The 26,679-nt window shown below is 38.2% G+C and overlaps 1 protein-coding gene across 4 annotated transcripts in view, besides 1 other annotated feature; it reads right to left on the bottom strand.

Annotated features, from left to right (window-relative positions):
* The window catches only part of GPC6 (glypican 6), a 1,191,492-nt gene that overhangs the window by 148,633 nt on the left and 1,016,180 nt on the right, over window positions 1-26,679 (bottom strand). The window lies entirely within an intron of this gene.
* Window positions 9,346-9,943: an enhancer, noted in NCBI's record as "OCT4-NANOG hESC enhancer chr13:94901699-94902296 (GRCh37/hg19 assembly coordinates)". NCBI's record gives its function as "activates a minimal SCP1, AML or CMV promoter by ChIP-STARR-seq in naive H9 embryonic stem cells {active_cell/tissue: H9 hESC(naive)}" and the evidence as "EXISTENCE:reporter gene assay evidence [ECO:0000049][PMID:30033119]".

Below are 26,679 nucleotides of genomic sequence, written 5' to 3'. Positions count from 1 at the left end.
TCATTTCCCCCATCTTTCATGTTAATGGAACCCTAATTTGTTCCAATAACCAAATACACTTCAGCCCAGATAAATTCTGGTTAGTCTAACCCTATCATGGAAATCTCATTCTCCTTGTTGGTTATTGGTTTAGGGGCAGGCTTGTAGCTGTCTGGCCAATGACACATAAAGTAATGTTTGCTCGGGGCTTCTGGGAAGGTTTCCAGTGTGGCAGGGGCTTTGGGGAAAGCTTCCAATGAGAAGGGGGCTTCTGGGAAAGGTTTCCAGTGAGAAAGGGATTTCTGGGAACCGTTTCCAGTGTGCTAGGGGCTTCTGAGAAGGTTTCCAGTGTGCTAGGGGCTTCTGGGAAAGGTTTCCAGTGAGGAAGGGGTTTCTGGGAAATGTTTCCAGTTTGTGAGGGGCTTCTGGGAAAGGTTTCCAGTGTGGTAGGGGCTTCTAGGAAAGGTTTCCTGCCCCACCCTTGTTACATCTCTGTTTGATGCCTTGAGAAGCAACAATCATTTTGCAGGCATGATGGTAACCTAGCCTGAGGATACCAGAACAGAAAGATGAGAGGAGCCTGAGTCTTCCATGACATTGTGGAGCCTCAGAAATAATCAATGTTAATATCATTTTGTCTCCATTATCTTGTTTACTCTACCGAAATTATTATTGCAACGAAACCAGCCTGTGTCTGTGAATGGACATAGTTCAGTGTTGTGCCTCTAAGCCTTTGCCATGTTTGGAAAAAGGCAGTCAGGCCATAGATGTTTGCTGAATGCGTGAAGATACCTCTATCCTAACAAAGTTAGAAATATAATGTAAACGAAGAGGCAAGAAGAGTATGCTGAAAACCTTTGTGGGAGCAACAGAAGATACTGGATAGAAAAAGCAACATCATATTTAAATTTGCAATTATTGGTGTATGTTTTAATTGATCAAAACCCAGAGTCTTCTTTTGGTGTGAAATATATTATTTAAGGTAGCACATGGTAATTCAACTTTGAATTCTTATGCTTCACTTACATTTATTTCACCTGGAAAGTGAAATGATAGCTATGGCCAAAGAGCACATGTTTAATAATGCCCAAGAAATCAGTGCCAATTTGATTCCAACCAAATGTTTGTCGGCCCCGGGGAGTTGTTCCGTGGTCAGAAAAATGCAGTCAATCCTCTGCGGGGCTCACCTGCATCAATTATTACTTGCTGGGTGTAAAGACATGTTCTAGAAAACAAATATTTGCTAACTATGACACTTAACTGTCAACAAAAATTCTAGAAACAGCTATGGCTTTGTATATGATTGCCTATGTTAATCTTGGTGGGTAAAATTTCAAGTCTTTCAATATTTTACAGTTTTATCATATCTCTACCCTTCTAAAAAGTATTAACTTTCATATTCTTTGCAATAACCCAACTATATTGGGATTCTCTGCCTCATGCAATGTTTATTCCTTATTTAATATTTGTACTTAATGCTAAGGAAGGAAGTGTAGTGGTTATATGCATTTGGTGTGTTCAAGTCACTCTACCCACTCTTTGTTGTCTGTCTCTTGTTAGTCTATCTTTTCCTGTTTTTGACTTAGTTTCTCAATACGGGAAATGGGGTTAATGGTCTCTTTTGCCAGGGCGGTTGCAGTATTACAATAAAATGATGTATCTGCAACATTTAGCCTTATTTCTGCCATTCAATAAATGAGAAACCAGCTGGCTGGCCTCACAGGGGACCCTGCACTGGTCAAGTCACCGTGTTCAAGGGTCTGTGTGTTCCTCAATTTGCAGATCTAGAGGCTCGCTTTGGTCTATTTCTCAGGGTGGTTTGGTGATGAGGGAATACTAGGGGGAGAGCTGGTTGTCTGACAGAAATACTTGTGGGGTTCACATTCTAATTATTTCTAAGAGAGGGCTGACAGGTGGACCAGGGCCAGGGCGAGTTCTTGACCGCAGTGCCTTGTCCCTGGACAAAGTATGGACAAGCACTGTGAAATTAACAGATACCCAGGAGACTCTCATTTCATCTAAGATCTGATCTACCCACTCCTGCTCTGGATTGACAGATTTGCTGTTCTTCATATATGTAAATGACTTTGATTAGGACATAGCTCCCTGTTCTGTGTGCTTTGGGCCTAGGAAAATTTTGTTTCTAAAGTGCCTTTTGCATTTGTGTGATCTCCCATGTTATGTGTTGATTTTTTGTCATTCAGGATGCCCCTGCTGTTACTGCCCTAAACTCTCTGCAGGCCAGGGTGATACTGGAGCTGTAAAATCATAAGCTAATCTAAAAACTAAAAAGAGAACAAATCAGTTAGGGTCTCCCTAAACTCTCATAGTAGCTATATGTCAAAAGAAACACTTGTTAAATGAGCTTTTCTAGTGAGGAGAATGCTTGAGTTCTTTCAGATCAGAAAAGAAAGCCTAAAACACTTTTAACTTGCAGACTCAACAGAATCTATGAAAGAGAAACAGATGAAAGGCAGATCGCTGTGCTATCCTGGTGCTTTTTAGTATGTGATTGACACAAAGGAAAAAAGAAATTTTGTTCAGTCTAAAAAAGAACTTTCTTTCTTAATAATTACAGCTCCCTCCACCTATAATGGGTTGCTTGGTGAGTCATCAAGATCTCTGTCTCTGGAAGGATTTGGGGAGGAGATGGGAATTAGGATTGCACAGCCCTGCCAGGTCCCTTTCCAATCCACAAGTCTCTATTTTAAGACCCTTGAGGTTAAATCCTGTAGAATAGAATCTAAGAACTACAAGACTTTGCAGTGCGGCTGATATGAGTTTATGTCACTAGGAAAGATGTCCTGGAGAATGTAGTGCCTGAGCTGGACCTCAGAGGATGATGATGATGGAGATGGGAGGACAGTAGCAGATGGGCCATGCCATACATTGAGATGACACTGACAAAAGTACAGTGCTCTGCCCAGTCTCCTTGCTCTTGGTCTGTTCCTGGCATCTTGTAGCAAGATGCTTCTTTCTAAATCATTGTTCTCACTGTATTTCTCTTTAATACATCTTATGCACCCAGGAAAAACATGAACACTCTTTAGTTGTCTTTCAAGGGTCCCCTCATTCTGCTCCAGCCCATTTTTCAGAATTTAGTGCATACTACACTGAGACACAAATCTTCTTTACCACTTGAACTCCCCTGCCCTGTTACAGGAACTAAATATTCCCTGACATGGCCCACACTCCACAATATTTGCTCCTTCTTGGCTACTGTCAGATTTGGAAGAAAACATCAAGTTTTATGTCTGAGATCCAAAATCCAGTGTGATAATTATTTCAGGCATGATCCAATAGATGTGAAGTCTACACGTCTCTATCTTTACTGACTGTTTTTTTTTCCACTTTGATTTTGTCCAGCGCTTCTTAACCTTTTATATGCATATATCAGTCAGTTGCAAGTTTTGATTCAGGTGATCTGCGATGGGACCTGTGATTCTGCATTTCCTGTAGATTCTCAAGCAATGTGGGTGCTGCCAGTCCAGGGATCACACTTTGAGTAGCAAGGCTCTAGGGTCAAACACACCTTCCTCCCCTTCTTTGACCAAATGGCCTCACAAGTTGATTCCCTCTATGATCCAGGGCATTTATTTCTTATTTTCAATACAAACTGATGCCCAGGTCTCAATCCTTTTCCTGATAAGTTCTTCCGAGGCTGTAGAGCCCTCCTGGCTGATGAGGCTTCTGTCCTGATACTCCTGACCTTTCTGCTCCACTGCTGTCCTGGCTGGAGCTGAAGTTATGAGGATTGATGAGGCCCCAGAGCAGGTGACTCTATAAGGAAAAGAGCAGGAGGCTAAGGATCATGTCCCTTAGATAGAAAAAGAGGAGGGACAATTTAGAGAGAGGAAGGAAAAGAGAGAGGGATGCTGAAACCAAGTATTTCAAGAAGTTCAGGTTGTCAAACCATCCCTCAAGTCCTTCCACACATGGCTTCTCTTCTCTGTGACCTTTTCCTCCCTGTTTCTATAGTGGTAAAATTTTGAACTTGATTGTATACTGTATGTCATTTCCAAAATGGGATTTAAGATGCATTATAAGCTGAAGGGTCTATAAAAGAGGTCGGTATTTTTAATGAACCAAAAGTTGTCTTTTTATTCTTTTTAAGGAGAGAAATCTGCATGATTTGGTTTGATCACAGACATGAGCTTTGATTATTATAAGGTTCTTTGATTATAAGTCCTTTCCTCCACTGCGTTGTAAACGCCTAGCCAGTCTTAGTTTTGCACTAAAAGGATCAATTGCTTCCCTATTTTCCAGCTTGGACATGGCTGGGATTCTAACAACTGCTAATAAAATAATTTCTGACTTGAACTGGTAACATTTACTACCTGTTCTGCATAGCACTAAATTTTCAAGTGGAATAGGAATTTTTTGGGCTTCTTAAACATTGATGAAAATTACTGTTGACTCCTTTGATAACATCTCTTTGTTTCAAATGCTTTCCAGATGTTCTAAATGATTTCCTAATATTTATATGTAAAAACTTAGAGCATAAGGAGCTTTTGTGATGATTCAGGGTAAGCTTATGTTGCAGATGAGGAGACTACAGAAGGTTAAAATGTTACTCTGAAAATCACTGATGAGCAGAGTTTGGAACCCATATTTAATATATTACATATTTGACTACACTGTATTTCATTTTAAAATTTGAGCTAAGAATTTTGTACTTTCTGGGCCAAAAAAGAGATTTTTTTGAAAGATTCAAATTACATGTTTTTTTTTCTTTAGTAAAACATTCAGTGGCTTTGTATAGCAGTTTTTAAATTCAGCATTATGTTTCCGTTACTCCCAATCATTCTAAAGTGATCAATGACATCAATCAACTGTTTCTTAAGGTTATTACACTTTTATTATTTTTATTATTATCATTATATTAAGTATGTTTGTAGCACAGATAAGGTGCGTGTGGTTTATTCTATGGATGGTGATAAAGTAAAATGCTGGGATATGTTTGGAATATTGCATTTGTAAGAAGCTTAATGTTACTTTGACCCACACTGAATAATTCAACAGGGTATGATATATCAAAGGTAGAGGCAAACAAAATCTCAATCCAGATGACTAGGGAAACATTTCTTCAATGAAGTACTTTGAAAATAACTTCATAAAGTCCTTACTTACTTGGAAGTATCACTGCAAATGGAAGGTCATAGGCTTTTTGGCAATTTTTTGTTGGATGCTATAGCTATTACCTACAGCTCAGGAAGAAAGGCCAGTACATGCCAAAGGCACTTTAAGAATATGACTCGATACATTTTATAATCATTTTAATCCAGGGCCATTAAAATGCTCTACAAGGGTCAAGAGCCAGGTTCTTTATTTCTTTGTAAACATTAATGCATTTTCACTCATTGTGTCATGGTTGGGAAGGAAACAGCACTCATGGCTCATGGTGCTAAAGATGATATAGGATCAATGAAAGACTAAATCATCAATACATCAATCTGTGTGCTACCAACCTAAGAGACTAATGTGCAAATTAATGACCTTTAAAATTCAAGGAATGTACATACATCAATCTAATTGAAAGAAGAATTGATAAAGTGTTCCGTCATTTACTGTCACAAACAGGAAGGAGAGATTAATGACACATGTTGATCAAATGCAGCACTTAAAGAGTAAGATATCATTTTGCCATCATCACAAGCCCTGATCTAGTCTTGGGTTTCTTTTGTACGAAGATTGGAGGGGGAATATGACTAACCAGATGTAGTAAGACTACCATGACTCTCCAGATACATAAGAAAAGTTTTCTATGATCGAAAACACACCCACTCAGCAGTTTGTACCAAGATTACAGATTCATCTTGGGAACAGGGAAGCTCACAAAGACTCCCACATCTTAAAAAGCAAAAAGGCCTCTTTAGTCTGTTATTTTCTCAACTCATGGGTGCAAAGAATATTATTTTGACATCATGATAGCTTTGTTTTTATTCATGAAACTCCTCTCTTATTAAATAAAAAAAAGAAGAACCGTTGAGATAAACGCAGTATTATTACAGGGCAGTTCTCAATGTCAGTATTGCCTTTGACTATCTAGGTTATAGAGAATCAACTGGAGAAGGGGGCACAATGTACAATCTAGGAAGATAGTCACTTACAATCATTTTAAATAACACCCTTCTTTTCCCAGCAGCTGCCTTGGGAACGCAGACCACCCTCTTATCTCTTGTAACCCTTCTCATTTAGTGAGCATCGGAAAGTAATTTTCTGTAAGTGTGGAAGAGATTATATGTTGAACATACACTGTGTGCAGATATAATGCATTATTTCTTACATATACTCTCTACATACCTCTGGAGATTCACAGGAGGGAGTTTTTCCAGCATTTGCAGAAAGAATCGCTGAATTCCCTTGAGCTTCTTGGCCTCTTATCATTCCTGACACCAGTCTAAACTTTACTGAAGCTTTTCCTTCAGAAAACTGCTTTTTTTTTTTTTTCTTTTTTATTCTGGATGTCCCTTTATCAGCCATCCCCCTCCCCCAGAAAACTCTAATTATCTTTCACTGGAAACAGCAGGCTTGGGGTTTCTAGAGAGCCTATCATATCCTTGAGTCCCATTTCTATCCATTTTAGTTGCATTTTTCCTCTCATCACAGTCCATTTACACTTGCCCTATCATTTATGGCTTTTGGACTTACAGCCCTGTGGTTGTTCTGGGACAAAAGAAAGTCTGCATTTTTAAAATTTCTTGAAATTCCATCATTCAATTTATAAACATATAAGCTATCCTCATGATTAATACTAAAGATAACACACACTAAGAGACAACTTTTGTTGTTGTTGGTGGTGGTGGGTACAGGGGAGAGCAGCAAAAAGCAGTACTCTACAACTTGTGTCTTATTTCGCCATCAATTTCAGCATTGAAATCGCCATTATCCGACATACACAGCTTCCTATTAGTTTAGCTTTAGTGAAGGCTTAACCAGCATGGGGGCACATAATAAAAATCCCCTTTTATTGCGTAATCATGACAAAATAAATATGAGAGCCAGCCTAACAAAAACAGACATCACCAGAGCCAAGAAGTTGGGCTTTTATGCATGACCTGGTCGTCGAACAATCTTATTACTCAATATCATAATTAATAAACTGTTTAGCAGCCAGTATGGAGGGCTTTGCAAAGAACTCATAAAGGACACATTCACAAAAGCAGTATGATGAACAGTTCTGCTTCTAAATCAAGGTTTTATATAACAAAGTCACAGAAGAGCCTTGATTCCAGACACCTGGGTGACAAATCCCTCTTAGGATCAGGGAAGTGAGAGGAAATAAGTATGGGACATTGAAGGCCACCCAAGGAGCATTACAGCAGTCTCATCTCTAGAATGACAGGAGTTCCACAGTTGTTAGCGGTGCCAGGAGAACATCGGGAAAGAAGCCAGAGCCTACTGGGGAACTAACTAGACAGCATGCATCAGCCAGGCCAGGGATGAAGAATGTGTCCTTGAGATTAATGTTTCACAGCTGTGATGTAGACCTAGCTACAGGCATAGTCGATGGATTTTGCAGCAGGAGACAGATGAGAAATTATAGCATCCAAAAGAGCCTGTTACACCAAATCAATGATAAACGTACATCCATGAGACAATTGGTGGTGAAAAAAAAAGATAGCATCCCTTAGCTCTGATTTTTCCCTTCATCCAAATTTTGCAACAGTTTGTTTTGTTTTTGTTTTTTTTTTTGCCTTTTAGCTTTCTAGGAACACTTTATTCAGCTGAAAAGAACAGCAAGGCACCACTTCAGTTATTTTCACAAGTTGTAACAAAGGACGTGACAACGGCACCCTTAATTAATCTTTGTCCTGAGACTGATAAAATAATAAGGTGAAAAACAATTTCACTTTTCAAACCCACAAGTTCTGGGATTTGGGGGCTTTGTATAGTCTTTCTCAATTCTGCTGGCAAACTAACCAGTCCGTGTTTTTTTTTTTTTCCTTTAAGTTCTGGGATACAAGTGCAGAACGTGCAGGTTTGTTACATAGGTATATGTGTGCCATGGTCGTTTTCTACACCTATCAACCCGTCATCTAGGTTTTAAGCCTTGCATACATTAAGTATTTGTCCTAATGCTCTCCCCCGCTTTGCCCCCCACCCCCTGCCTGGCCCTGGTGTGTGTTTCCCTCCTTATATCCATGTGCTCTAATTGTTCAACTCCCACTTATGAATGAGAACATGGTGTTTGGTTTTCTGTTCCTGTGTTAGTTTGCTGAGGATGATGGCTTTTGGTTTCATCCATGTTGCTGCAAAGGACATGACCTCATTCCTTTTTATGGCTGCATAGTATTCTATGGTGTATATGTACCACATTTCTTTATCCAGTGTATCATTGATGGGCATTTGGGTTGGTTCCATGTCTTTGCTATTAATTTGAACAAGTTCTATACTTCTTGGTCAGGCAATTCCATCTCCCCTATTTACTTAACATGGTTTTAAATATTTTCTCCTTTTCCTTCTGCATCAATGTCGAAAATCCCTTCTATGTCTGAAACTTTAAATTACTCTTGCACCTTTAAGAGGAATTTAAGAACAATTTTATGACAAATTTCAAATATATACAAAAGTCAAGCCAGCAGTATAATGAATTGTCATGTACCTTCACCCAGCTTAATCAATTACCCACTCACGGCCAATCTTGTTTTATCTACAACCCCACTGCCACCTCTCCATATCCAACTTCCCCATTCCCAGATTATTTTGAAAGAAAACCCAACCTTTCCATTGTTTTTCTCACAGGGGAGTTGTAATCAAGTCTCCTTCAGGAAACTGGTAGTTTTGTTTGCAGTTTTACTTTTTCTACTTCTATTGGGAGAAAAGGATATTTGGGGAGCTTTCATTATTTACTTCTTGTCCATTCTAATTATAACTAAAATCACAATTATAGAGTTAAGATAATTGCTAAAGACATGCATGTGAGCATAATTTCAGATAAGCAAATACAGTAGTGATTCAAAATATTTAACCGCTCTTTGGCTGTAATTGACCATTGATAAAATATTTCCACATGGTGTGAAATAAATGTAAGAAAACACAGCACTCAAACTACACAGACCTTCTATTAAGGCCTTTTCCACAACTGTATTTGATCTCTTGATATTCCCTTCAAAAGATGTTACATTTCACAGAGATGGACTCCTGGTGTGATTTGTCCCTTTATGAATCTGCCTTGTGTTTACAATCAGTATCAAAAGATTAAAATTAAAGTGTTTGCTGCACATTCAATTTATTTCCCAGATTGAATTGTAAATTATATACGCAAAGACTTTCTCTTAATCTCCATGGTGTTCATCCACAGTGCTTAATATAGTGCTTGGCATTTATTAATGCTTAACAAAGGCTTGTCGACTTATTGATCTATGTTGCTTCTCATCATAAAACCCAAGTATGTTTTATAAAATGACAGATTCTTTAATATAGGAAGAGCAAATATGTGTTGCCACTAGACATTTCCTGTCCGCATGGCAGACATCTCGAATTTATCACTGCACTCTTTTCTACTAACTTGGGATGCAGCCTCAGCATCCTTGAGGTGCAAATTGCAACTTACCTCCTATCTGTGCTCTAACATTGTTTAGAGAAGAGATTCAAATCATTGGGCCATCAAGCTTGTCAAACGCTGTTCTGTTTTAAGTGTTCTGCAGGTCACTTTCACTACTCCTGTTTGTTTTAGTCTGTTCATTCACTCCAGGGGACCTGTATTGTGGTCAAAGCCTGGTTTCCATGATGGGGTTGGTATGAGGAGTCAAATTCTAATTCCATTACTCACAAGCTGGATCATTAGCTTTTGTTTTTTCCTCCATAAAATTTGGATAATAACATTCTCCTCTTTTCAGAGGGGTTTTGTGATGGTTAGATGAAATGATTAATCTAAACAGCTTTTTAAACTGTGAAAATCTATGCAAGTGTCTGTTAATATAAAAGATATCTTAGGGGGTCATACAAATAAGCACAGATCTTTGTCCAGGATAAGCCTCTACAAACTTAATGAAACACCAGTTTCCAAATTTATATTCACTCACCTATCCCTTTGAGTCTCTCTTTTGTATGATTGTTTTGTGGCTCAAGATTTATTGGGGATCACTTCAAAATGTAATCTGAGGTCTAATGATGTGTGATTACACTCTATTGTTATCAGCCTATGCTGAGGAGCAGGGTATGGGATCAAATCGATAGGATAGAAAATTAGATAGGAAGCACAATGAAAAGTGTGAGGTTAAGGGAACATTTTATAGGGTTTTGGGATACAGTTGCTGAGACTACTTTTAAAAGAACAGCCTCAGGTGATTTCCCTAAAGCTTTGGCCTTATCAACCTCATGTTCTAACCAAGTGACTAACTGGCCATATGTTACATTTAAACAGCTTTCCCAGAAAGCTGCTCCTGATTCTCTGAGCATGTTGGCATATATGACAATATGGAAAATATGCAGCGGTTAATTTTCCTAACCACCCTGAAACTAACATATTTGCAATGCATTTCATCAGCAACTTAGTAAATTGCCATTTAAGAGGTATATTACTTTTACAATAGTATCATAAAACTCCTGCTGCCAGCCATAATTCACAGGTGGTAGCTGAGGAAAGTGGATTCAATAGTACTTCAATATCCCTATGTCCTGAGGTGCTAGTTTCTAAGTAACAGGCTGGCGATGTGTGTGAGCATGTTTCTACTTTGGGGGTTTTGAGTCAAAATAATTTATAAACCTCTCTCTCTCTCTCTCTCTCTCAGCCTGAAATGGTCATGGGGATATCAGCAGTTGTATGGAAATTTTTTTGGTGACTAGAGGGTCCTATATGAAGGTCACATGTGTATTATTTGAGAAGGCATTGCATACTTATTTTTGGCATTCAGGTTCTTGGGTGATATTTATGGGAAATTTTAAATGCATAATAAGAATGATAAGATTTGAGGTTTTTATTCATTGGCCATATTATACAGGGAAAAAGAAGGCTAGTGAAATAGGGACATAAGGTTCTATGATGTTGGTTACTTTAAATTTTTATCTCATCTCTAATTCAAATGTCAAGTCAAAGTAAATTTCTTAAGTACTTTAAAAATCTCTGCAAACAATTTAACCAAATTTGGAAGCATTCATCCAAACGTAGATGTTGCTGTCAGAACAGGAGGTGAGGACAGAGAAATCAGTGTCACAGGCAAATTGAATTGGGAGCTGACTGAAAATTTTTTGAGGGAAAATGCAAATTTCATTACCAATGGCTTGTAAAGACATGACTCTTAAGGCTTCTACAACTATGATCCTAATAATTCCATGACGAATGTACTTCCCACATGTTTTCAGAAATAGAGCTGGAGGGAATGTTTCCTAGCACATTTTTTGAGGCCAGCATCACCTTGATACCTAACTCAGACAAAGACACCATAAGAAAAGAAAATTACAAAGCTGGGCACAGTGGCATGTACCTGTAGCCTCAGCTACTTGGGAGGCTGAGGTGGGAGGACTGCTTGAGCCCAGAAGTTTAAGGCTGCAATGCACTGTGTTTGTACCTGTGAACAGCCACTGCACTCTACCCTGGGCAAAACAGCGAGACCCCCATCTCTTTAAAAAAAGAAGAAAAGAAAAAAAGAAAAGAAAACAACAGGCCAATATCTCTGATGAGCACTGATACAAAAATTCTCATTACAGTATTAGGAAATTGAATTCAACAGCACATCAAAATGATTATACATCATGATTAAGTAGGATTTACCCCCAAACATGCAAGGCTGGCTTAACATATGCAAATCAATTAATGTTATACATTGCATTAACAGACTGAATGACAAAAACCACTTGATCATATCAATGGACACAGAAAAAATATGTAACAAAGTTCAACATACTTTTTTGATAATAATTCTTGACAGTTTAGGTATAGAAGAAAAGTTCCTTGACATTATAAAGACCCATTTATGCAAAATCTACGGCTAACATCATAATCAAGAGGGAGAAACTGAAAGCCTTTCCTCTAAGAGCAGGTACAAGGCCAGGATGCCCGCTTTAGCCAATTCCATTCAACATAGTCCCAGAAGTACTATGAAGAGCAAAGAGGCAAGAGAAAAGAAATGAAAGGTATCTAAATCAGGAAGGAATAAGTAAAATTATTTGTATCTGCAGATAATGTGATCCTATATGTAGAAAAACCTAAAGACTCCACCAAACAACTATTACATCTAATAAATTAATTCAGTCAAGTTGTAAGATTTAAAATAAAAATGAAAATCTATGACATTTTAATACACAAACAATGACCTATCTGGAAAGTAAATTTTTTAAAAAATCCCATTTATGGCAGCATAAAAATACCTTAGGAATAAGTTTAACCAAGGAGGTAAAAGACCTGTACATTAAACCCCATAAAACATTGATGAAAGAAATTGAAGAGGACACAAATAAATGAAAAGATATTCGATGCTCATGGATTGGAACAATTAATATTGTTAAAATGTCCATACTGCTTAAAGCAATATAATCTCTATCAAAATCCCAATGACACTCTTCAAAGAAATAGAAAAAACAATCCTAAAATTCATATAGAACCACAAAAGACCCTAAATAGCCACAACGATTCTGTGAAAGAGAAAAAAAACCCAAAGTTGGAGGCATCACACTTCCTCCTGATTTTAAATTATATTACAAAGCTATAGTAATGAAAACAGTATGGCACTGACATGAAAACAGACACATAGACCAGTGGAACAGAATAGAGACACCAGAAATAAATTTAAACATATATAATCAACTACTTTTCAACAAGGGCACCAAGAAGACACAATGGAGAAAGTAGAGTCTCCTTGATAAATGATACTGGGAAAACTGGATTTATACATACCAAAGAAGGAAATTGGACCCTTATCTTATGCCATGCATAAAAATCAACTTGGAATTAATAAAAGTCTGAAATGTAAGATCTGAAACAATGGAACTCCTAGGACAAAACATAGGGAAAAAGCTCCTTGACACTGGCTTTGGCAATGATGTCTTGAATGTCACACCAAAATCTTAGGCTACAAAAGCAAAAATAAATATGTGGGACTGCATCAAACTAAAAACCTTATACACTGTAAAGAAAACAATCAAAATGAAAAGACAACCTACAGGTTGAGAAAAAATATTTACAAACCATATATCAGATAAGGGCTTAATATCCAAGATTTATAAAGAGCCAATACAATTCAGTAACAAGAAAATATAAACTCCATGGAAAAATATGCAAAGGACTTGAATACACATTTCTATAGATTTGACATAAAAATGGCCATCAGGCACATAAAAAGATACACAAGATCCCTAATCATCAGGAAAATGAAAACAAAAACTGCTATGAGATACCACCTCATATCCGTTAGAATGTCTACTATAAAAAAGACAAGACCCAAGTGTTGTCAAGGGTGCGGAGAAAAGGAAACCCTTGCCCACTGTTAGTGGGAAAGTAGATTGGTGCAGCCATTATAGGAAACAATATGGAGGTTCCTAAAGAAAATTAAAATAGAATTATCATATGTTGTAGCAATTCCTCTTCTGTGTATAAATAAAATAATCACCTCACAAAGGTATCTGCAATCCCATGTTCACTACAGCATTATTTAGAATAGCCAAGATATGGAAACACACTAGGTGTCCATCAGTGGATGAATGGATAAAGAAACTGTCACACACACACAGACACACACACACACATACACACAAATATTATTCAGCCTTAAAAAAGGAGATCTTGCCATTTGCCACAACACGGATTGACCTAGAGGACATTATATTAAGCAAAATAAGCCAGATATAGAAAGAAAATTATTGCATGATCTCACTTTTTATTTTTTTATTTTTTAGAGACAGGGAGGGTCTTACTCTCTTGCCCAGGCTGGAGTGCAGTAGCATGATCACAATTCACTGCCACCTCTAACTCCTGGGCTCTGGCAATCCTCCTGCCTTAGCTTCCCAAGTAGCTGGGACTATAGGAATGTGCCACCTTACCTGGCTAGCTTTTAAATTTTTTTTTTTATTTTATATAGAGTGGAGTCTTGCTATGTTACCCAGTTTGGTCTCAAACTCCTCACCTCATGAAATTCTCCCGCCTCAACCTCCCAAAGCACTGAGATTACAAGCATGAGCCACCACACCAGGCTGCATGATCTCATTTATATGTACCATCTAAAAAATAAATAAATGAATGCCAAATATATAGAGATAGAGAATAAAACAGTAGTTACCAGGATTGGGCTGGGAAGAGGAAGTGGGGAGATACAGGTCAAAGGATACAAAGTAGCAAATATGTAGGATGAACAAGTCAAAAGGTCTAATGTACAATATGAAGACCACAGTAAATCACAGTATATTCAGAATTTTTGCTAAATGAGGAGACTATGTCTGCACACACCATGGGGTAGGCAGGGAATAAGTGAAGATGTGAGATGGTAGCTGTGTTTATTTGTTCCACTATATAGTAACCATTTTACTACATGTATCTTGTAACATCATGCTGTATATTTTAAATATACAAAATAAGATTTAAAAATAAATAAATAAAAATATGACTTGCAAGACTCCTACAAATATGATCCTAATAATTCCATGACTAACTGTATTTCCCACATTCCCTACATCCCCCTCTCACATTCTGCCTCTTTTCAGCAAAAGGGTAAAATTTCATATTTAAAAAAAATCACATGGCTACTCTGCCTTCACTTAAAACTGTCAATGACTTCAGTGTCCTAAAGCTTCATCTTTTATTCTCATCTCTCATATAAATGGATGTGACTTCCATGATTTAACCTTATGACTATTTTTTTAAAAAGTAAAACCACTTATTATTTTGTCCTTCCAAAAAAAGAAAGACAAAATAAATGTTTAAGGAATTTCTTAGACATCACAGGTAATTTTACATGTTAGTATTTTATTCCTTATTTCCTCTCCTTGCATATTTGGTCAAGTTATAGATCTATTGTGTAATAGACATTTAGTTCGAGATGGAAACCTTGAGATAGTGCCCAAATCCTTAACTTCACAGGTGGTGAAACTGAGGCTAGACATGTATGATCCTTGACAGAGGTCACACAGGAGCCAACCAGTGACAATGTCTTCCTATTGTTTTCCTAAAGCCACTTCTTATCAAAATAATGCGGACATAATTAAGCTTTGCGGAGTTACGTGCTGGCCCCAAAATGATCAAATGCGGTTTTTAGATACTCTGACTTGGCACAGCACAGATAAATCATTTGTATTCTTCCTCTTTGCCCCCTGGCACACAATAGATCTCTAACTTGCCCAAATATGCAAGGAGAGGAAATAAGGAATAAAATAGTAACATGTAAAGTTACCTACAATTACCTAAGTAGTTCCTTAAACATTTATCTTGTCTTTCCTTTTTTGAGAGGACAAAATAATAAGTGCTTTTACTTTTTAGAAAATAATCATAAGGTTCAGTCATGGAAGTCGCATCCATTTATAGGGGCAGCTTTACCTCTCTGCAAAGTGAGAAGGAAACTGAGGCAAAGAAAGAGAAAGCATCCTGTCCAGCCTACATGGCACAGCATTTACATCTAAAATGCAGTTTGTTACTTACCCTCATCTGGCTAAATAGTGTTCTGAGGTAGACTAGCAGCTATCTGTCTGCACAGGATAAATGATGAACCAAAAATAGTTTGTGTGGTCTACTGGTAGACATAAAAAGCAATGAGGTCAGCACAGAGTCCATGAGGATTGAGCACTAATGTATTCTTCTGCCTGCTTTGATTTTCTAACAAAATCATGCAGTTTTAAAAGGGGGAGGACAGAGTTTAATGATTGGGGAAAAATTAGAAATGTCAAGTATAATCCTTTGAAACAGGTAGTGAAAGCTCAGGAGTATAACTGTTTTGATGTTCCCAGTCCTGCCAGTGAGTGACAGGGAAAATGAAGACCCTTTCAGACAAACTGATTGTGCTCCTGTCAAAGGTGGCTCAAGTTCTGTTCAAACACCTGTTTCTATCTTTATGAATATTAAAAGCCTCTGTGATTTTTTTTCTGGAAGCAATGATTTTGAAGTGTTACAGTACACAAAAGACATCATCTCAGTCTTGTTCCAATTCACTGCCAGTCCTTAGTTTTCCCTGAGAATGTACATAATTTTAAAATTTGGTGGCAGATTTGTAGATGTAAGGCCTGTTGAAACTGAAAAACAGGGTTGCTTTATTTTAAATCAGTATTAGTCATTCTAATTTTATTTTACATGTGATTTGTTTTCAAGTTAGCATAAAGGTGCTAACCACAGAAATTGATATGGAAATATAAGATAAAGCATCCCTGGAAGAGATGAAGTCAGGGCTTTCCAAAGATGTCATTCCATCATTAATAGCCATGGCACTGTCAGCTGTATATGGAGATCAATTCTCTTGGATATATAATCCTCTGACAATTAAAACTCATGTAGTTGAAATGTGCCTGGGCATTCCACAAGTGGTACTTTTTTTTTTTTTTAGATTTAGTTAGCATGGATTATGATTCCTTCTAAAGTTAAATAAAGGTATATGACACAAACCAATAGGATTTTGTGTAGCTTCTTGGAAACTTACATACTACAAACCCAACAGACTGTGTAAAATATTGCTATTAAATCTTCCAACCACTCTTTCAGAGTTCTTTCTCCTAGTGTCAAATGAAATTGTGTTATATGAATCACAACCCCACAAAATGATCACTTGTAATTAACTCCTTCCAGATTTCACTCATTTTAGTCTTGACTAATGGCTACTTTTGTGAAGGAATCCAACCCACTGTAATCCCTAAACACAGGAGCCAGCTTTAGTGTGCATCACATTAAGGCTGCTGAAAATGAATGGTCTGATTTCTGCTTGAAATTCAGGAAGCATAGTATTCCATGGTGTATATGTGCCACATTTTCTTAATCCAGTCTATCACTGATGGACATTTGGGTTGGTTCCAAGTCTTTGCTATTGTGAATAGTGCCACAATAAACATACGTGTGCATGTGTCTTTATAGCAGCATGATTTATAATCCTTTGGGTATATACTCAGTACTGGGATGGCTGGGTCAAATGGCATTTCTAGTTCTAGATCCCTGAGGAATCGCCACACTGACTTCCATAATGATTGAACTAGTTTACAGTCCCACCAACAGTGTAAAAGTGTTCCTATATTCAGCCATAAAAAAGGATGACTTCATGTCCTTTGTAGGGACATGGATGAAGCTGGAAACCATCATTCTCAGTAAACTATCGCAAGGACAAAAAACCAAACACCGCATGTTCTCACTCATAGGTGGGGATTGAATAATGAGAACACTTGGACACAGGAAGGGGAACATCACACACCGGGGCCTGTTGTGGGGTGGGGGGAGTGGGGAGGGATAGCATTAGGAGATATACCTAATGTAAATGACGAGTTAATGGGTGCAGCACAGCAACATGGCACATGTATACATATGTAACAAACCTGCACGTTGTGCACATGTACCCTAAAACTTAAAGCATAATAATAATAAAAAAAGAATAAAAATACATTAAAAAGAAAAAAAAAGAAATTCAGGAAGCAAAGACTTAGGGGTCAGGAAATTACATCTCGTTGTCTAGAATTTGTGATCAACATTTCAAGTCACTCATTCACATTTAGGGGTAGAGATAAAGCCAAAATCTGTCTTACACTGAGAAGGGATCTAAAAGGGTTTTCTTCACATTGCCTGGTCATATTTCTTTTACTCTTTGGAAGTTAATACAGATAGAGTAGAAACAAGGCAACCTAGCCCCCTCCTTTTTCTGTTTTAGCTTCTGGGTACAACCAGTCTCTGGCCATCTTTGATGGCTAATTCCAGACATTTACAAAAATGCAGAACCTGCTGTCACCATCTCTGCACTGTGCAATGACAAGATTACCATTTTTCTGCTCACAGATATGTGGCATCTGAAAACTCATCTAGATTATATATACACTACAAATGTGAAAATATGTATAATGAGTCCCATAAGATCATCAGTCTCATGGAGGCAGGACTTCCTTAAGACCAAAAATGTATGCCAGAAAGCCATGCAATCCAATTTTCAGATTCCAAAAAAAGCCGACAATCAGTTTCCAAGCCATAGTGTCTTAGTCAGTTCAGGCTGCTAGAATAGAATACCATAAAGTAGGTGGCTTGAATAACAAATGTTTGTTTATTGTGGTTCTAGAGGCTGGGAAGTCTGAGATCAAGGTGATGGCAGATCTTCTGTCTGCTGAGGACCTTTCCCTGGCTTGTAGGCAGCTATCTTCTCTTTGTATCCTCACGTGACCAAGAGATTGCACTCTAGTCTCTTTTAAGGACACCAGTGCCATCCTGGGGGCTCCATCCTCATGACCACATCTAAACCTAATTACATCTCAAAAGCTCCACCTTCTAATACCATCCCATGGGGGATTAGTATGAATTTTGGGGACACACAAACATGCAGCTCAAGTACCATCATTGTTCATCCTGCCATTTCCCAAGTATGGTGGACTCAGCTCAAGAGCAAGAATATGACGTCAACCTAGTCAAGTCCTTCCCTTGTGCAATATACCCTCAGGAGCTTCCCAGCTGGCCCAAAGGAAAACCATTCCTGCAGGTGCCTAAAAGACCTGCTTCCTCTGTAATTCCACCTTCTGCTCTCTCCTTCATGCTTATACGGCACCTGCAGCACTGGCCTCACTGCTGTGCCCCCACACTCTTAGGCTGTTCACTGCTCTGTTCCCCTCTGGTGCATTCATCACTCTCTGAAATACTACCTGTATGACTTTTATTTATTTTATTTTATTTTATTTTATTTTATTTACTTTCTGTCTCCCAACACTGGAATATCTACTCCAAGAGGATAAGGATTTGCTTTCATTGTTGCTGTTGTTTCTCCAACTTCTACAGCTGTGACTGGCAAAAAGCAGGCACTCAATCATTATTTTTTAAATGAATGAATTAATCCATGACCACTCCTTTTATCCTTACGGCTTTAGACCTTAAGGCCATTGAGTGTCTCCAGAAGGAGACAAGGAGGCCCTCTCGGGTAAAAATATTAATCTGATTATGAATATGTGTCTGGAGGATGCCAAGTTCCATAAAATTGATAAAGTAATCAAATACTGTGTGTTTGATTCTGAGGAGGCAGCATTCTTCTTTACCCAGAGGAGCTCAGAGTCAGCCCCAGGGCGGTTGCCTATGGCTGTGCTGTTCATGTACTGTGCAAAGGTGAGGAGGGGGTGAAATCCAGCCCAGTTTCTGCTAGCTGGGTTCTGTACCCTTCAGTGTGGCAGGAGAGGGGGAACTTTTTTTGTAATTCATGATCCCAGAGGGTCCATCCTACTTCAGTTTACAAAAATATGCCTCTCTGCTATTAGCTGGCCCCTTTCTATGAACACCCTCAAATACCTAGAGTCAAGTTTAAGCTCTCAGCTTCACTCTCAGCCTTCAAGATTGATTTTCCATTCAGTGCTGTTTTAAAGTAGGTGAGCATCACTTCCTAAGGAAAACTGGGTCCATTGGTCCCAGGAGTCTCCTTTGCACAACACATCTCCCCACAAATGACACTTGAAAGGCGAATAGAGCTGATCTTCCAAGAGGGAAGCTGAGTGGATTGAGAGCCGAACACTCTCGCCTTAATACCTTAAAATGTTTAGCTTTTTGTTTCTAGATATTGTATAGAATTCCTAAACAACTGGCTTAAACTAGCAAGGCAACGCTTAACTTTGGCCTTTCCTAACTTGGAGGTAAGATTCCCAGGAAACTATCATTTCGCAAGAATAAATTCATAATTCACATAATGACTTCATCAATAATGACTCTAATGCCGAGAGTGCTTTGAAGCATTTATTTTCTATACCTGAAATGTTTGCCCTAAAATGTATCTAAAATGAGAAATTTTTTAAAAAAGTTTTAAAAATCCTCTATTTCCTACTAAAATCATTCCAAGAATCATCTACATGTGGTGCTCTACATTTTTCCTTGACTTGATTATTCTTAACAATGACGGTGTCTATTCCAGTTGTCACAGAAAAACAGTTATGCTCAAATACAAATTATTTAACCACATGTGTGGGAGTAGAGAGGAAATGACTCCTCCTTTGCTCGTGACAATGACACACTGTGGGTTGTCTAGTACCTTTCCCTTCATAGCTTAGATTCCAACATGATGTTTTTTTCACAATGCTGCTCTGCCATCAAATGCAACTGCAATCAGTTTGCTTAATTGATCATCAGCTGGAGACAATTAAACCGAGAAGGGCCCCCTAAATGAGGAAACAGGTAGAGGAAGAATCTAGGCATGAAATTATTCTGAAATCTGTTCCCAGATCTTCCACCACTTACATTGTAAGCTAGTAAAATCTGGTGTGTGATAAATGTTTTGCGTTGTATTCACGTTATTAACTTAAGAGCAGTAAAATGTGTGAAAACAATCTTTATTTTAGCCAAACATAGGCTAAACTATAGCATTATGAATGATCTTTGCAAAAGGCATTTTCCCACCTTTTAAGTTGTGTTCTGCTTTCCAGCCTTGCTCCAGTCACCCCTCCCAGCTTCTCAGCAATCTACGTTTATCTGTCGTCCCCAGTTTTATTTATATCGAGATTCTCCCAATCTCCTTTCTTTACCTCTACAAGCATGTTTTAGTCTAATCCTTTCTCAACCCATCTCTCCTTAAGTGGGGATCGCCCTCACTGCCATGTGTCAGCCCCAAACTGTGGGAGACCCTCGCTTATATCTTTTGCTTCTACTTTCTCACACGGTGCTTATTCCCAAAGCTCCCTAAAATCTGGCTTCAAAATTCAGCATATGATTGAACTGCTTTCTCAAAAGACTTCTTATAATTGTTAAATTCAGGGACTTATCCTGTGTCTGAGTCCTCCAGGTGAATTCTGTAGTGGCCAACGTGCCCTCCAATGGAGTAACTCTACTCCCTTAGTCCTCGTGGTGAAAGCCCACTGTGCCCTTCTATCTAATAAGACAATGGTGACCATGTATCCTGTGTTTCTTCCACCTCTGGTCTCATGTGCAGTCTACTTTTTTCTCCAGCTTCTAAGCAAATTCAGAATGTGGAGCACACAAGGGCTCTGTCCTTGACCTCATTATCTCTTCTAGCTATAGGCTCTCTGAGGGGATCTCATCCAGACCCTTGACCTTAAATATAGTCTTTATGCTAATGATTCCCCAATCCAGATTTCTACTTGTGATCTCTCCTCGAACTCCAGAACTATTTATCCAATGCCCACTTGACATTAATAGAAGGACATCTAAAAGCCGTCTCCAATTTAAAATGGATAAAAAAGGAATCTTTATTTCTATCCCCCAAAGATCCTCCCTCAGTCTTCCTCCATCTTGGTAAATGGCATGTTTATCTACCTCGTTGCTCTCCTCAACCTTCACAGGAAATCCATCTTCCAGTTCTACTAATTCCTCTTCCAAAAACTATCCTGCATCTGTTCACTTCTCTTCATCACTATGATTACCTCCTTAGTTCGAGCCAGCATAATCTCTTGCCTGGAATACTGCAAGAGCATCTCTTCTCAGCTCCTTGTTTTCATTTTTGCTCATTATTCTGCAACATCTAGACTGCTATTTTAGAAATGTAAATCAGGTCATGTTCACACCACTGCCTGAAACCCTCCAATGGCTTCCCATTATAACCCTGGCTTACAAATCCTGCTGGCTTACAAACCCTGCACGATCCAGCCCACCTACGTTTTTTTATTCACAATCTCCTTTTTCTACTCTAGTTCACTACACCAGCCTTCGTTCTGTTATGGAGACACTCCTAGCTTGCCCCCACATTGGGGCCTCTGCACCATATGGTTCCTCTGTGTAGGGCAAATGCTCTTCGTCTCCTTGTTCAATGAGTGGCTCCTTGTCATTTACATTTCACTTAGCTATCACCTTCTCAGAAAGCTCCTTGCTACCTATCCAATCCAAGCTGCCACCCACCTACAAAGAGACCTTACCGCTGTTGAATGTGTTAATTATTTATCTGTTTATTTGTTGTCTAAGATCTGCTGTTTTTCACAGGTGTAGTTGTCATAAAGGAGGCACTCAGTAAGTATTTACAGGTGGGAAGAATGGAAGGAAGAGGAGAAGGAAGAAAGGAAGGGAAGGATGGAGAAAAGAAAGAAGGAAGGAAGGGAGGAAGAAAGGGGGAAAGAAGAAAAAACAGGCACTTGAAAAGCCTTGCTTCATTCATTGGGTTCTTTTTCCTAGTGCTCTTCTCTGTACCAATTCCATTTTAATCCATTTCTGTAGTCTTTTTCTACCTCAGCTCACTTCTTGTCCTGCCCCTCTGCAGCTGATAATGGAACAAGTTCTCATCCTGCTACCCAGGCAGCAAAGCCAACCACTAACTTCTTGCATCTTGTTTCCTGTCCTTTTAACCTCCTGTTTATTACTCTTGGAGCAATATGACTTGACTCCTTGCCTTTAAGGCCTGTGAACAAGGTGCTTCCAACCTTCTTGTCAAGTTTCATTTTTCACTAGTTTTTGACATGCCTGAGGCTATTTACATGCCCAAAATTTTCAGGAGAAAAAAAAAAAAAAGCTTTCTGCTTTTCTTTGCATATCCCTGGGGGAAAGCAAGGATGTTAGAGGAACTCTGTCTCCATTCTTGCCTTCTCTGCCTCACTTTTTCTACCTCAGAGTTTAGACGACACCCTGTAGTATGTTCTCAGGAAATACTTACAGAAGGAAGAAGTGAAAATAAAGGAAATACTTGTAGAATGAATGAAAGAATGCCCCAAAATCTAACCACTGGTATATTTTGTATCTTTAAATAACCAGCTCAAAGTTACTTTCATTTTAAAGTTTTCCCTGATCGCCTCACCTTGGTTTATATTCTTACTCCCTTCAATCTTCATAGCATTTCTTTTAGAATACAGATTTTTACCTGATATTTTAGCATTTTATGCAATTGTCTTGATGTCTCTACATGTTCTGAAAACAGGCACTGTCTCATACACCTGGAAGCCCCCTAGTCTTAATATTTAGTTCCTGTCTCTTAACACAATTCTTGTCCAAAGCAATAGCTGAATATCGACTTCTGAGTTTTAGTTCAAGGACTAAAATACTTGCAGAGGAAATCACAAAGTTCCTGCTGATTACAGGTTTATAGAACATCCACTGTAAACATTAACTCAGGGTATGCTGCTGCTCCGTCAACTAATCTCTCAGAATTTCATTTTCTTTATAAATGGGGCTAATAATATTTATCTAATAGGGGGACTCAGAGGATTCTTTAATTAATGATGAAACACATTCCAAGATCCTCAGAGGAAATAAGAAGATAAACATTATTATATCTCTTATTACTGCAGATAGCAGTTATTAAACTCCCCCATAAACAGGAACCAAGAAAAATTTCAGGCCAAACTAATAGTTTAATAAGAAGCAGCCAGGGGCTACTACAGTTGAGCTAACGTAAACACTTTGGCAGAAATTAATCCCTTCTTTAGTTGTTATTAATACTGGACAAGAAGAGTTCTCAGGGTCTCAGTTTCGTCACCTGTGTAATGGAGACATTGGACAAGGTGACCTCAAAGGTGTCTTCTAGCTTCAATATTCTCAGCGAATCTCTGATCTTATTAACATCTCAAATCTGCAACTAATTGACTGGTTCTACATGTTTTAATATGATTGTGTGCCACTATCACTGCTTTCTCCCAAGGATTCAATTTTACCCAAAGAGTTGAAGGACCAGTGTAGATTTTCAAAGAATCATTAGGAGGTAGGATGCTGTATAACATTTTTCAGAGAGCTTGAATATGTAAATTTAAGTTTTTGAGTCTTGGTGTCCCAGAAAATTTTTTGGCATAGGGTAGAGAAATAATCAGGAAATATCCATGTGTACTCTACTACCTCATTTGCTAATCAGAGTTTCTTGCAAATAGAAATTAGTGTTTCTCATTTGTATGTCCCCTGTGGCTCAAGGTAATAATGTTTATCAAGGTTCCCTAGGAACACTGCAGAGCCTTAGGGATCAATTGGCCCTGGTAAAGTAAGGCCGCTCAATGAGGATGGTAGGCATTTAGCAACAAATCAAAGTTAGTACTTTTTTCTTTTTTTTGGAGAATGCTTGTGGAATGGATATTCTGAAATGTCCTGTTGAACTGTGAGAGACGCTCCCAGAGATTGTTAAAAAATTCCGTCCTTGGTTCATTATACCTGATGTGAGTTCAAAATGGTCTTGAAATATCAGAACCACTGGAGTGTAGTGCTTTATAGCTCACTCTTTGATCTCCAGTTCAACATTGTTCTCAGAAGGTGTGCCCAGGTATCCTGAGGATTTATCATGCTGTCTTTCTTTTTTTAACTTATTGTGGTGAAAAATATCCAACGTAAATTTACTCCCTTAACAATTTTAAGCATACAGTACAGCCTTGTTAACTCTATGCACATTGCTGTACAGATCTCTAGAACTTTCCATCTTGCATGACTAAAAGGCTCTATGCATTGAACAACTCATTTCCCTTTTCCCCAACCTCCTGGCAACTACCATTTGACTGTCTCTATGAGTTTGACTACTTTACATAACTCATATAAGTGGAATTATGCAGTATTTGTCTTTTTGTGATTTGCTTATATCACTTAGAATAATGCCCTCAAGATTTATCTATGTTGTGGTATATGCTGACTTTTAAAACACACAGCTTTTGTCCACAAAATCCTTATTTCTATTGCGTCTGGTTGATAGCCTGTTAATTCCTGGGAGGAAGAGAAACTTCCTGAAACACTGGAAAAAAAGAGTTAATAGGTCAATACCAGAATTTTTATTCCATAGTTCATAAAACAAGCTTTAAGGGTCCAAGAAGTTCTTTAAAGAGATCTAACTATCTGGACATATCAGAATGACAAGATAATATTAACTTGTTTTTTTAAGTTCTTGGGTCACAGTAAAGTGATATTGCAAAAAAAAAAAAAAAGCAAACAAAAGAACGGCCTCCTTTTGTTCAACAGAGACATATTTTCAGTAGCAGAAACTAATTTTTAGCTTCAGTATTACATGTAGAAAAGAAACATCTTCCAGTGATCATGAGGTGGTCTGGTGTCTGATTCCATGAGAATTTTGTGCCTATTGATACCCTAGTATTAATACAACAGATACAATAAAAATGAATTTAGTTATACCTGTAAACATGGAATACTTCTGAGTTCACAGTACATCCTTACCCTTTTCTCACAGAAACTTCAGAAGGATAAATGGAATGATTTTTAGAATAAGGTTTAATACTGGCTTTAGCATTTAGGCTTTGAATCACCTATCTGAGCCTCGGTTTCCCCAGATGTCTCTTCTGTCTCCCAGCATTGCAGGGGAAATGAGGTGTGACTAAATAAGATTATGTAGGCCATGGTTTTGATCTAGTAGAGTTACTGCCCTACAAATAAACACCTCGCCCTGACTATTTCTCATACTTCAAATGCCAGTGCTTCCAGTTGTTCTAAAATTTAGTCCTCTGCTAGAAGACGTACTGTTACAGTAGTCCCCCCTTAGCCCTGGGGGGTATGTTCGAAGACCCTCAGCATATGCCTGAAACTGTGGATAGTACCAAATCCTATATATGCTATGTTTTTTTCTGTACATATATAACTATGAGAAAGTATAATATGTACATTAGGCACAGTAAGAGATTAACAACAAGAACTAAGAATAAAATACAACAATTATAACAATAAACCAAAATCACTCCTCTTGTACCTTTGGGTCATTATTAAGAAATATAAGGGTTCCTTGAACATAAGCACCTCAACACCAAAACAACGAATCTGAAAATCAAGGCGGCTACCAAGTGACTCACACCAGGGGAGGGAAGACAGTGTGGAGACGCTGGACAAAGAGATGATTCATGTCCCTCGTGGGACTGAATGGGATGGTGCCAGATTTCACTGCAATATTCAGAACAGTGGGAAACTTAAAACGTATGCATTGTTTATTTCTGGAATTTTCCATTTAATATTTTCAAGCTATAGTTGGCTGTGGGTAACTGAAACCAAAAAAGTGAAAGAGCAGATAATGGGGGATGGTATTAATGGGTTAAACATAGAAAAGAGATAAATTAGGAGCTATTTGCTTATGAGTTACTTCTTTATTGACAATAAGATTAATGGCTCCCAATTTTTTAGCACCTCTTAGGCCTGTCTTTTTTGTTGTTATTGTTGTTTGTTTGTTTTTAGATCTACATTAGAGCTGGGCTTTACATAATTCTCTCCATCCAAAAAAATTTCCTTTATACAGTCAGTTCCTCTAGCGCTTTTAAATATGATGCAATTTCTCATATTTTTGTTTCCCTACAAGTTTTTAAGAAGACAGTGATGGGTACATTGTGGTGCATATTTGTATCTCACACAACTTTGAAAGGAAATACAAATTAAGCCAGTCTGACCTCCCGTGCAAGTCAGTTCCATGTTTCCTGGTCCCACCAAAAAAAAAAAAAAAAAAAAAAAAAAGTTATAAAACCTGAACTATTGTGAATTCCTACAGGATTTAAAATGTGACATTTACATTAACCATAATTACATTACCTGGTTACACATTCTGGTGCCTGACTTATTCTTTTGGCCAAAAATGGTAACAATCAGCCAGTCACTAGAGTCCTTTCTACTCCTCCAAGGCCTCCACCTTGGCCCAGAGTCAGGTATCCGAGACACATAAAAACTCACGGATGTTCTTCCAGCCTCCTGTTTCCAAGGTTTCTGGAACAGGTGGTCATTAATGCAAATTTATG

This window comes from Homo sapiens, chromosome 13 (genome assembly GCF_000001405.40).
Source record: "Homo sapiens chromosome 13, GRCh38.p14 Primary Assembly".
NCBI lineage: Eukaryota > Metazoa > Chordata > Mammalia > Primates > Hominidae > Homo > Homo sapiens.
The sequence above is the reverse complement of the archived record's forward strand: the minus strand, read 5'-3'. Positions and strand labels throughout refer to the sequence as shown.